The 13579-nt window shown below is 35.3% G+C and overlaps 1 protein-coding gene across 19 annotated transcripts in view; it reads right to left on the bottom strand.

The window, feature by feature from the left end:
• Positions 1-13579, bottom strand: part of KIAA1328 — a 403046-nt gene that overhangs the window by 335038 nt on the left and 54429 nt on the right. For 18 of the 19 annotated variants that reach the window (NR_136303.3, NR_136304.2, NR_136305.2 and 15 more), the window contains one exon: positions 11463-11578. Coding sequence is in view for 14 of the 19 variants with exons in the window: in XM_047437678.1 (XP_047293634.1) it covers positions 11463-11578 (116 nt within the window). In the remaining 5 variants the exon portion in view is untranslated. Of the gene's footprint in view, positions 1-10728; positions 11579-13579 lie in introns of those variants that run through there. The other variant, NR_148565.2, reaches the window with a different exon arrangement.

Here is a 13579-nt window from a genome sequence, read left to right as displayed (position 1 = left end):
AGATACAATTCAGATATTCTGTTGACTTCTAATTATTTCATGAGCATAATTATATTCACTACTTCTGAAAAATTAGTTTTGAAATGCAAAATCTTGAGTACAATTTTTTTTAATGTTACTGCATAAGTCTCTAACTTAAGTGAGAGTATTACCATCTAAATCATTTATTCATAAGTTAAGGCCATCCTAAGGTTAAGAATACTAAGACAAATTTGCTACTGATTAATAATAAAGTCACTCACTATATTCTTCAAATGTAAAGCAATTACAAGCTGTGGTATGGCAAACAGATGTAGCTGAAAAGAGTACATCAGATAGCCCTTTAAGGAAAATCAGTAATGTAAAAGGCTAAACAATAATCCTAAATAATACCCTGAATGATAATTATGAGATTGATTTATTTAAAGTCTATTTCTTCATACAAGAACTGTTGAAACTTTCCAAAGTAATTTTAAATGATGCTATACAGGTTTAGTACCATTTATCCAGAACAGAACCATCACTGAAAAAAAGATAATTAAACAAAGATGCAGCAAATAAATGTTTTTTGAATTTCAGTTTGCTGAGCTTATTTACATGTGGGTATCAAAAAGAAATGAAATCCTTAGCCACTAGAGCCAGGTGAGAAGCCCCAATCCACATTTATTTGAACTGCAGTGTCACTCACTATAAAGCAACATAGAAGTTGCTCTCTGAGGATGTTAAGGTTCCACGTCTGGAGCCTTCAGTAAATCGAAGACATCAAAACCAAAGCAAAATCAAGCTTGGAAAGTTAAGCTATTTTTTTAATTATAAAATGAGTACATCATATATATTAAAAGGGTCTTAGCTAGTAAGGCAACAAGATTGCCAAAAATCAAATCTCATCAAAAAATAATACAAAATGATATTTAAAAATTATTGTTCAAAAATGTATTAACACCCAACCAAGAAAATAAAGCTAAAATGATCAGAGAACGATATCTGAAAATACACTAATATTAGAAACACTACCCTCCACAAATACACTGAAAAGCCTTCTAAGCTGATAATTAGAATAAAAATTACCAAAGAACTAAGTACATATTAAGTACTGCCTTAGTCTGCTCAGACTGCCATAACAAAATACCACAGACTGGGAGGCTTAAACAACAGATATTTATTTTCTCACAGTTCTGGAGGCTGGAAGTCCAAAATAAGGTCTGATCGGGTTTGGTTTCTGGTGAGGGCTCTCTTGGCTTTCAGGCTTCTACCTTCTTGCTGTGGCCTCACACAGGACAACGTGGGGGTGTGGTGTGTGACAGAGAGATCTCTCTGCTCTTCTTCTAGGACAACAGTCATTGGATTAGGGCTCTACCAGTATGACCTCATTTAACCTTAATTGCCTCCTAAAAACCCTATCTTCAGCTACATTCTCACTGGGGGTTAGAGCTTCAACATATGAATTTTGAAGGGACACAATTCAGTCCATCGCAAATTCTTAAGTAACAAATAAATACATAAGCAAACGAACCTTGCTAAGCCCAGAATAGCAGGCAAAGGGGCTGAAAAGCACCATCTCTTCTCACACTACTCCAAAAAATACATGTTTAGCAGTTAGATAAACTTATTAGAATTTTTAAAAAATATTTGTCTCATTCTTACAGAAGAAAAGCTGAAAATCAGAAAAGGTGCTAGAAGATATGAAGCAGATCTTTAAAATCTCTTCCAGCCTTAAAACAAATCCCAAAACATCCCTTCACATAGACGCCCTTTGGCACAACAGTATCTCCTTTTCCTCGTGGCCTTCACTTTCTCACCCCTACTCTAGCCTAAAGCCTTTGCAAAGCAGCTTATTCTTCTAAAATGTCATTGAAATGCTCCTGCATTCAATGACTTACCAAAGTCACAAAAGTATAAAGTAGCTGATCCAAGATCTCTTATAAGTTTTCTTACTAAAAATCCAGGACTGTTTCAAGTACACAACAGTGCCCAAAGAACCATAAGAAGATACGCAAGTTAGGGCAGCTGGTACAGGTATGAATGCTAGGAGCCAAATACTATTTTTAAAAATGTACTGGGGAAGATGACTTTAAAAATTTTTGAAGAAGGAAATTAGTAAAACAAGCAATGACAAAGAAACAGAAATTAGATGTAATAAGTAGGAAAACCCAATAAGTCTTTCTTAGCTGGTATGTGGGGGCCATAAAAATGAAGGTCACACATGTTACTTGACACTAGTAATGGAGGGCTTGAATGTCAAAATCAAGAATATGCATTTGGTCCTTTAGGCCATAAGAAGCTGTGGAATGGTATGAAAAAGCCAAGTGATGTAATAAAAACAGAACTTAAAGCCAGACACAGTGGCTCACGTTTGTAATCCCAGTACTTTAGGACACCTAGGTGAGAGGATCGCTTGAGCCCAGAAGTTCGGGACCAGCCTGAGCAACATAGGGAGACCCCGTCTCTACAAAAATACAAAAATTAGCCAGGTGTGGTGATGCATGCCTCTGGTCCTAGCTACTTGAGAGGGCTGAGGTGGGAGGACTGCTTGGGCCTGGGAGTTAAAGGCTGCAGTGAGCCATGACTGCACCACTGTGCTCCAACTAGATGACCTGGTAAGACCCTGTCTCAAAAAAAAAAGAAAAGTAGTCCTTAAGAAAAATTAATCTGGCAACTGTAATGGAATGAACTCTTTCAAACGACAGTTGGAAACAATGGAGGCAGGCACACAAGGAATGAAGTCAGGTAGCAGTGAAAATAGCAAGGAATAAGGTTTCAAGGGAAAATGAGTAAGACCTGGTGACTGAATGGAGATGTCAAAATATAAGAAAATTGCTTAAACATTCTACATATCTGGATTTTCTGGTAACTTAAGGTATATGCTTTTGAATACCAAAAAATTTTTTAACCATCTTTGGATAAAAAGCACCATAAAATATATTACACATTTTTATAAAATTGTGCTTTAAAAAGTAAGGCTTATTGATATTTGTATCGTTCACTGCTACAGAGAAAATTTGGTATAGTGAAAAAAGCAGAACACTTGGTGTCAAGAAATTTCAGTCTTAGCTCTGCAATGGGCTGTTTCATTACCTTTCCAGACCTGTAAAATGATAGAAGAGTATCTGCCTCACCTAAGTTAACCAGGCTATTATGAAGATTAAAAATGCGTAAGTGAAAGTGCTCTGTAAATAGAAAAGCAATATAAAAATGCAAGATGTCTTAGTAATAAAAGCACTAATACTTCTAATAGGATAAAAACAATTTAACACTGTCTTGCCTCCGAATACCATGTTGTATTTAATATATGACGTCCTTGAGATATATCTAAGTGGGCAGAGTTCTAGGCTGCTGTGTATTTTTAGTTCTTCTGTGTTTTTTAATAGTTTTTCTATCAACTCCTCTGTCAACTTCTATAGTCTCATAGCAGCTCTATTCTCTACTTCTAATTTTCTGCTTTTAATCTGCAATGAGCTTTAAAACTAGACACCAAATAGTAAGTTTATTATTATCCATATGACAGCTTTAGAAACTCTCATATAAGAAAAGTTCTATTGGGTGTGGCGGCTCATGTCTGTAATCTTAGCACTTTGGGAGGCCAAGACGGGAGGATCACTTGAGCCCAGAGGTTTGAACCCAGCCTAGGCAACATAATGAGACCCTTGTCTCACATACACACACACACACACACACACACACACACACACAAAAACACACACACACACACACACACACACAAATAGCCAGGTGGGGTGGAGCACACCTGTGGTTCCAGTGACTACGGTGGCTGAGATGGGAGGACTACTTAAGCCCAGGAGATCCAGGCCGCAGTGAGTCCTGATTATGCCACTCCAGCCTAGGCGACACAGCAAGATTCTATCTCAAATAAATAAATAAATAAGAAAGAAAGAGAGAGAGAAAAAGAGAGAGAAAGTAAGTTCATACATACGGGACTGGAGTGGGTGAGGAGTGCCTCATTTTATTCTTAATTCCTGGATGAATTCCAAAAAAGTAAAGTGTAAATATAACTCATTATTAAAGAGTAACTTAACCCCTAGAGACTCTTATTGGGATGAATTTTAGTATATGGTTACATTTATATAATTTCAAAAAATAATTTTGACTTTTTTTTAGATTCAGGGGTACATGTGCAGGTTTGTTACATGGGTATATTCATGATGCTGAAGTTTGGGGTACGGTCACCTAGGTAAGTAATAGTCACCCAATAGTGAGCATATAATTTCTTTACTTTCTAAAAACTTTTGTCACAATTTCTCCCTGTGGTTAGCATTAATAACTAAATATTTTTAAGAGAACAAAAATAATCTTTAAGAATAGTTTAGACAACAATAAAATAAGTAACAATCAGTTCTTTCTTTAAGCATGCCTATCTCTCTGTAATACAAATGGAAAGAATCATTCAAACTGTTAGTCTGATATAAAATGTCATTCCAGGACAATTTATAATAACAATGCTCCAAAATCTGCTAAATTTGTACAGCAACATAGAGTAAATAAAATGGCCTCAAGAAATACAACTTCTGTAGTATTCGTGATGATTATCAGATCAGTAAAACAGCATTTTCTAGGGCTTGTTAAATGGAACGAAGTGGCCCTATCCAAGTACATAATATATTCTTTCACTAAATAATTCAATTTGTAAACAAAAAAAACAAAAACCCAATACTTATTCAAAACAAAAAGGCCAAGATTCATCAAAGTTGATAAGGTGTTTATATTAGTACACCACACTGCCAAACACCAAAATACCCTTTCTTCTTCCATATCCCTTCTCTTCTATTTACAGTCTTCTTCATTTTAAGAACTTTAGGTTTTTTACTTTCCCAAAACTATTTCAAAGACTAGAACATCTGCCTTCTCTTCTAAAGGGCCAGAAAGATACATTAAAAAGGAGAGACCTTTTCTCTTGAAACTTACATTCTTTTTTTGTGAAAATTTTTTCTACCTCTCCTGACATACCACTCCACCGAGATCTATGATACAGCTTCCTGCAGTATGGTTCCTATCCTTGTTAAAAGTCTAACAGATGATGGTGACAAATCATGGTAGTCTGGCTCCTATGCAGGGATGAGATATATAGTTAAATACAAAGCTTTGGATAGCTCCAGCGTATTACTGTTATTTGCAACGAATGATTTCTTTCACATAATCATATAAAAATCTTGTGAATTTTCTCTTACCTATTTTCAGCACAGACATTATGGGATCTTTGGCTCATTCTTAATACAGTCCTCAGAAAGATTAAGGCTAGTTCCTTTAATGTAAACTAATATTTACTAATGTAATATTACTAATGTAAATGAATATTTGATCCAGCAATCCCACTACTGGGTATCCACCCAAAGGAAAACAAGCCATTATATGAAAAGGACACATGCACATGGATGTTTATAGCAGCACAGTTCGCAATAGCAAAAATATGGGCCCAAGCTAAGTGGCCACCAACCAATGAGTGGATAAAGAAAATATGGTATACACACAATGGAATACTACTAAGCCAGAAAACAGAATGGAATAATGACCTTTGCTGCCACTTGGATGGAGCTGGAGGCCATTATTCTTAATGAAGTAACTCTGGAATGGAAAACCAAACATCGTTATGTTCTCATTCATAAGTGAGAGCTAAGTTATGAGGCTGCAAAGGCATAAGAATGATATAACGGACTTTGGGGACTCAGCAGAGGGGGGAAGAGTGAAAGTGGGTGAGGGATAAAAGACTACATACTGGGTACAATGTACACTGCTCCAGTGACAGGTGTACCAAAATCTCAGAAATCAGTTATTAAAATAACTTGTCCATGTAACCAAAAGCCACTTGTACCTCAAAAACTAGTGAAATAAAATAATTAAAACAATTTTTAAAATTATATGTATTTCTTGAATATAGAGTGGTATTTAAATATATGTACATAATTCATATTTTCACTTTTTGGACTTCTGATTAACTTAGGGTTTATTCTGGTGTGTGGTATGAGGCGTGGGCTCCAATTGTATCTCTTTCCAAATGACTCTCCAATTGTCACAATACTATTTATTACAAAGTCCATCCTGTTGTCACAGTTGTGAAATGCTATCTCAATTATATTCTTAATTTTCGAATGTAATTGGATTTACCTTTAAACTTTCTATTCTGCTTTAGTAGGCTGGTTGTTTATTCATCTACCATGTTTTGATAGAGACCTAATCACTTCCTTCTCGGCTCTTCTTTATGAGGCTGATTAGTTAATTTTGCATATTTCTCTACATGAATTTCATAGCCAACTTGTCTAGCTCCAGAAAAAATCTCATTCATATATATCTTTTTGGAGAATTACATTACACATATATGAACTAGGAGAATATCTGATATCATTTTTTGTTGAGTCATCCACATGAACAAGGGCTGTCTTTCCATTCGTTCAACTCTGCTTTTGTCTCTCAGGAGTCTTTGAAATGTTCCTCATAAAGGTTTTGTACATTACTGTTAGGTTTACTTTATTTTTGAGATGGAGCCTCACTTTGTCACCTATGCTGGAATGCAGTGGCACAATCTCGGCTCTCTGCAACCTCTGCCTCCCAGGTTCAAGCGATTCTCATGCCTCAGCCTCCCGAGTAGTTGGGACCACAGGCACACACCACCTTGCCCGGCTAATTTTTGTATTTTTAGTAGAGACGGGGTTTCACCATGTTGGCCAGGCTGGTCTCGAACTCCTAACCTCAGGTGATCCGCCTGCCTTGGCCTCCCAAAGTGCTGGGATTATAAGCGTGAGCCATGACGCGCAGACATATTTTTTTTGTTGACATTTTAAACTTCTTTTTCTGCCATTTTATCTTCTGACTGGTTATTACTTTTACATAGATAATATCATTGATTTGGATATGCCAAGTTAAGTTTCATACCACATGCAAATAAAGGTGATTTTGCTTTTTTTTTAAAAAAAAAAAAAGAAGAAGAAAGAAAAAAAAGCTAGTTCCTTTAAAATTCTTTCTTTGAAGAGCAAAGTTTCTAAAATGACCACCCATGTAATGGGCTCAAGGATGTGAGCTACAAGCACCTTTCTAAACCCCTTCAATTTACTAAGCCCTAGTCAGAGAGATAATAGAAACAGACCAGAATGTGGAAAACAAACAAACAAACAAAAAAACCACAACTCTGTCAGTTTGATTTCTGGGAGAGGAAACTAAAACTTGGTTTCCTCCCAATGAGCACTCAACAGGTGCAAGTGGTACAGAGAGGTTTTTCCTTCCAGAGAGATCAGAAGATAAAGCAGAGGAAAGACCAATTTCATTCTTCTACTGGGCTACTAAGCAGCCTAACCCTTGCATAATCTAATGAAAATCAACAAAATCCCAGTGAAGAAAGGCACAGAAATGAGAAACCTGGGTTAGTCATCTCATCCCTCATCCATATTAATAATAGTAAAAATGAGAATTGCAATTTTTTATTCAGTGGCTACTTAGACTAGGTCCTTTACACATATAATGTAAAGAATCTATCAAATTCCAATAGGCCTGCAAAGAAGGCATTTTAGTTATCTACATATTATAAACAAAAGACTCAGAGAAGTTCAGTAACTTTCCCAAGGGATCAGATAGCTACTCAGTGCTAAAATGGGATTATGACTCTAAATCCCACTGTGCTTTGCTGTCACTTCCCTTTGCTATGCCAGTCAAAACAGTGAAGTCAGCAAACATTAGACTTTAGTACTTTTCTAATATAAGCTTTTTACCACCGCTCACCATTGATCTGAGTCATATGTTCTAGAAATACAATTAGCTTAAATATTAATCAAATTTTATAATGGCTACATCCTCTGTGTCTTACACTATTACATGCCAACATGTTTCAGAATTATTGTTATTGTACATATTTCTCTTTAAGTTTCAGATTTATCTTTCTTTTCATACTCATCCAGCCAAGCAAAAACCTACTAAGTTCATCAGACTGCTTGGCTTTGTAAATGGCACATTCATTTACATGGTTAAGTTCTCCAGAAATAAACTTTCTTTGCTTAAAGACTGAATGTTACTAAGACTTTTTATGTTTTAATAATAAATTCACAATTTTCTACAAGAAGAAACCCTTCAACAGGCTGATCCTGATGCAAACACATAAAATATCTTTTCCTTTTTACTAAGGCACTAGTCTGTGTTTGTACAGCTGATCAATAAATCAAGTTACTCAAACTTTTAAAACAAAAACCCCATAAATGTTGGTATAATACATCTTTAAAATGCCAAAAATCAGAATTAATGGATATAGTTTCTCACACAGAAACAGATTTTAAAATGATCTGAAATTATCTGATTTCATGTATATGTAAGAGTCTGAATCATTCATGTATGATAGGTAAATGTATCTGTAGTTAAAATTATATTATTTTAAATTATAACCTTGTTTTATGTTTCTAAGTTTTATAGAGCTTTATGTACTGTAAAATCATCTATATTAACCTTTGACAGGTTTATTCTGGTAAAGGAGATTTGCACCTGAGCAATCTACTTGGAATAAAAACCATAAATGTCATTTAAAAAAATCATGTCCTTTCTTCCATGATAATAAAGTTTTATAAATACTACCTATATTTTGGTGATTAAAAAAAACTTAAACCAGTTTTACCAACCAAAATATTTTAATTTTTGACAATGATATACCATTTGCTCCAATCCTTATTCACAATAATAAAGAAATGCTTAGGCCAAATTCCTTTTTACTATATGTAATATAAGTCTGACTATGCCACATGACTAAAAGTCTTTGACTTTACTCACATATCTTTTCCTTTCCTTTCTTAGCTTATAAGATAAATCATGAACCAGCAAACCTTTACTGAAGAGTCAAATAATAAATATTTTAGGTTAGGAAAGGCATAGGGTATTTGCTGCAATTACTCTGCAGTTGGTGCACAAAAGCAGCCATGGACAATACATAAAGGAATGAGTATGGCTGGAATTAGCTGGCACACTACTGGATGTGGCCCACAGTAGTAGTGTTCTCCCCCCGAGTTAAATCATGAGGAAAACATGAAAAATAGTGTCACTGCAATCACCTAGGTATCATAATATTTAGCCTGACAAAAGAAACCATTCACAGCCATGCTAAGTATAGACTGGTTTAGCACTGAATAGAATTAATCTTGACCCAGAGAGTGCTAAATATAACAGTCTACTTGAGTTAGATTCTACTTTTCCAGATAACCACAAAATTTTCTTAAGTATTTTACCAAACAAGGGCCCACTCTAATTGTGCCCAGGTTTTCTAAACTGTCTACTACCAATCTCTCTCACCTTTCCCCAACTCATCCCAATTCCACTGTATGCTATAGATTTTTTTGTCCCAGGAAGGTTAAAGCATCACCACCTCCTCTCCATACAAAGAGTGAATTGTATTTCCCTTACCTCTGCTACCAGAGTTGGGGGCTGAATTCATTTCCAGTCTTCTTCTCCAGTGCTGCCTTCTACTACATAACTTGGACAAGCTAAATGCTCACTTTCTTAGCCTCCTTTGCAGCCTACCATGGCCACATCATAAAATTCAGGACTTTTATAAATATCATATAAAAGACCACTGGGTGGGGAGTAGGGAGTGCTCTCATAAAGTTTTTATGTTTTTAAAAAGAGGGAGAGGGAGTCATAATTACCAGGACCTCTTCCCCTTTTCTGCCTGCCTTAATGGAAATGTAATGCCTAGAATTGGAGCAACCATTAAAAAAACCTGAGAGAATTGTAAAGCTGCCAGCACTGAAAATGTTAAACCACTGAATCTCCATAATCTCCAGAGTACTTGTTATGTGAGAAATAAAGGAGCCTGTAAATTGAATTTTTGTTGCAAATGAAAGCATTCCTAACCTACCATTTCTAAAAAATGCTAGGACCTGGAGTACTACTCCTCAAGTAGAAGAGTAAATAAAACTGGCTGAGCACTTTGTTATGAATTCTGACTAAACAGCATTCCTTTAAATCTAGAGAAAAAAGTAGCAGGAAGAAAAACACAGAAGACTATCTTGAGGGTCAACAACCAAGGGCAATGAAGTCAAAGTGGGCCAAAAAAAAAAAAAAAAGAGAAAGTTGGAGATGATTATCCAAATGCTAGAGATGTAGAAAAAATTAATAATTGAAAAAGCACTCATCTAGACTTGTGAGGCCAACAAGCCTTATTCATGTTATACTCAGCAAATCAATTCTGAGAATTCTGATTGTATTAATTTCCTATCATGAACTCCCACTGCTTGGAAAATAAAAGTTCAGGACTCTGTTTTTATAGCTACAGTCTTGTATTTTTCAAGCTAATTATTGTAATTTATCTTTATGCTTCCATTTCTCTGGTATTCACAAAGGCATAGTTACTGTCAATACAAGACCATTTTCGACATTTGCAGAATCTTTGAAACAATTATTAACAATCAAGTTAATGATGATACCGCCAATAAAAACAATGGTGGTTTCACGCATTCACACACTAGTTTAGCTGGCAGATCCATCACTCTAACTTTAGGGACTTCTCTTCTACATCCATATTGCTGCATACAATACCCAAAGATAAGTAATTCTACCTATTCAAAAGAAAATTCAGAAATAGCTTATTTTAACACACCCCTAAAATATGTTTTTACTTTATCTTCTTACAAATAATGCTATAGACACACACACACAAACACACACACACACACACACCCCTCTAGGTCTAAACCCAATAGTTTTCTGCTCCATAAGAAGGATTTGGCAGCATTATGCTGCCGTGTAAACACTTACCAATTACAACATCTATACAGTAAAAACAATTTTTTTTTAATTTTTATGATTTCAGAGCAGAATTCCTAGGACTGTCAAAGCTTTAACTAGAAAGAATACCAAATACAAGGAGGTTCCAGCTCAATTACAGCAGTGCAACAGAATTTAATAAAGTTCCAACACTACACTTCAATGCCCAAATTTCTTCTTGTCCTTTTTAGTTGACAAGTATGTGCTTAGCAGCCTAACAGCAGCAGCAGAACAGCTGGATGGCCTTATCAGGCACAAAGGAAGCTATAGCACATATTGTTAAGTGACGTTCTGATTGCCTAGAAATGGCAGCACATGCAGATTTACTCCCTGTTACAAATTAGAACAATTATTTCTCTGGAGTTTACATTGTCTTCATGAAATAGTCAAACTTCTGGCCAGGCACGGTGGCTCACACCTGTAATCCTAGCACTTTGGGAGGCCAAGGCAGGCAGATCACCTGAGGTCAGGAGTTCAAGACCAGCCTGGCCAACAAGGTGAAACCCCGTCTCTACTAAAAATACGAAAATTAGCTGGGCCTGGTGGTGGGTGCCTGTAATCCCAGCTACTCGGGAGGCTGAGGTAGGAGAATCGCTTGAACCGGGAGGTGGAGGTTGCGGTGAACTGAAATCGCACCATTGCACTGCAGCCTAGGCGACAAGAGCGAGATTTCGTCTCAAAAAAAAAAAGAAATAGTCAAACTTCTTGAACGTTAAAAAAGAGAACTTTCAAAAGGATATCTTCCCTTTCTTTGATGATCAGTTCATTCTGTTCTTCCAACTGCCTGATCTTCTTCTCAAATGACTCCTGCTCAGCTTTCAGTCTTTCCTCTGTCACTTCCTTTTCCTCACTTACTCTGAAATAAAAAAAAAAAAACCTTTAACATCTATCAGAATAAAATTAAATATGTGCCTACAGCTGCAGTTTACAAAACCAGACTTCTTCCAAAGGTATGCCGAATTCTTCAGGAACACTCTGTTCTGTTTTGTTGTTGCTTTTTAAAAAACTTAATCTCTCATAAGGCAATCTTTTTCACCTCTGTAATAAAAGATCCATGCAATTTTTACATTAAAAATGTTTTCAATCATCAGAGATATCTTAAATATGCAAAGTCCTACAAAGGATGCAGGTGCCAAATTATAATCCAGGACAGAAATATATTCCGATTTTTAAAACATGGGTTTCATTTTTTTGTTACCAAAACAGGTACAATCAATTGATTTTGATTTACATTTTGTATAAGTTTATTTAAATCCTATTAATAAAATAAACAAAATATGTACTTTAAATATTTTACTAAATATACATAGGCAATTTTACTTTTTCCTGGTACCAATACCCAGCATTCTTTAGTAGCATATAAATAGTATGATTAAATAAAAAGATGACAGTAACATAAAGGAAGGTTTGCAGTACATGTATTCTTAGTCCAAAAAAAAAATTATAAAGTTAAAAACATGGACCAAGAAAATGTTTAACTCTGAAAAGGATTCCAACTTAATCATACCAAAAAGGGATGACTTCTGACAAGAGCACAGAGAGAAAAAACAAAAATTTAAAAACAAACAAACATGAACAACACCAACACTTTATTTACAATTCACTGAAGTATATATTGGGACAATCCTATTTTCATTCTACTCTGTGTGCAGAGACATTAACCCCAAATTTCTCTGTTACTGGTACTTATTTCTCCAAAGCTCATAGAATGCACTTATCCTATAAGATAACAGGAATAGGTGTAAGTGAAACCCACAGGGAATCTAAACCTTTTCTTTGAGCTACTAAATTTACTTCTGCTCAGAACGCTACTCTACTAGAGCAATTTCTGCGTAACATGAATCCCATAGGTTTTCCTCTTGCCTGCCCTCTGTTAGAGATATTGAAATCAACAGGATAACTGAAAATTAGAATCATGAATGTTCAAGAGTTGATTGTATCTTATCTTTGAAATAATTTGTGTCAAAGCATATAGCACATAGTAGTGCTCAATAAATAGGGTGATTTCTTCTCGCTTATCATAGCATTCAAGTCATTTTCCCTGGCCTATATATTATTTATGTTTAGCATACCACTAGGCCCATGAATGGGACCCAGGCCCTTCTTTCAAAGAGGGTAATCTCAAAGACTGATATATTTACAGAGAATTCAGACAACTAAACAAATACATACACATGAAGAGAATTTATACTCTGTTATCAGGTTATCCTGCTTCCTTTGTTCCTATCTCTTTACAATGCCTTCCCTTTTCCTGTTATTACTCTCAAGCCCACTTGCAATAACATCTTTCAAAGTAACTTTGACAAACTCTGCTTATCTCTCTGGGCATTATTAATCTTACTAAGAAAGAAAAAAGGCTAGACTAGACAATTTTAAAAATTATTTCCCACTGAAGTTCCAGAATTTCTTTCACTATATCATAAATATTTGACACTGTGTGTGTATATATATATATATATACTTTATAAATATGGAAAGCATTTGTAAAGAAGAAGAAAGTTACCAAACATTTGGTCACGGAACAAGACATACCATACTATGATTTAGGCAAAAGCCATACCAATAGGATGACAGAGTAATAAGTAGATTACAGAAATATTAAAAAGTATAAAGACCTGAAATTTGGCATGAGACTACAGAAATGCAAAACAAAGTGATGAATCTGTAGGATGATGCATAAAACAAAGAAATGAGTGATGTTGTATATAGGTTGAGTAGCCCTTATCTAAACTGCTTGGGACCAAAAGTGTTTCAGATTTCAAACAGTTTCCAATTTGGGAATATCGACATTACCCTATGGGTATGATGCAGGACTTTTCTTTACATTTTAAACAGTATCTTTACAGAGCATGGAATA

Source organism: Homo sapiens, chromosome 18 (assembly GCF_000001405.40).
Source record: "Homo sapiens chromosome 18, GRCh38.p14 Primary Assembly".
In the NCBI taxonomy this organism is placed as follows: Eukaryota; Metazoa; Chordata; class Mammalia; order Primates; family Hominidae; genus Homo; species Homo sapiens.
Note: the sequence above shows the minus strand (reverse complement) of the source record. Positions and strands in the feature narration are given on the sequence as shown.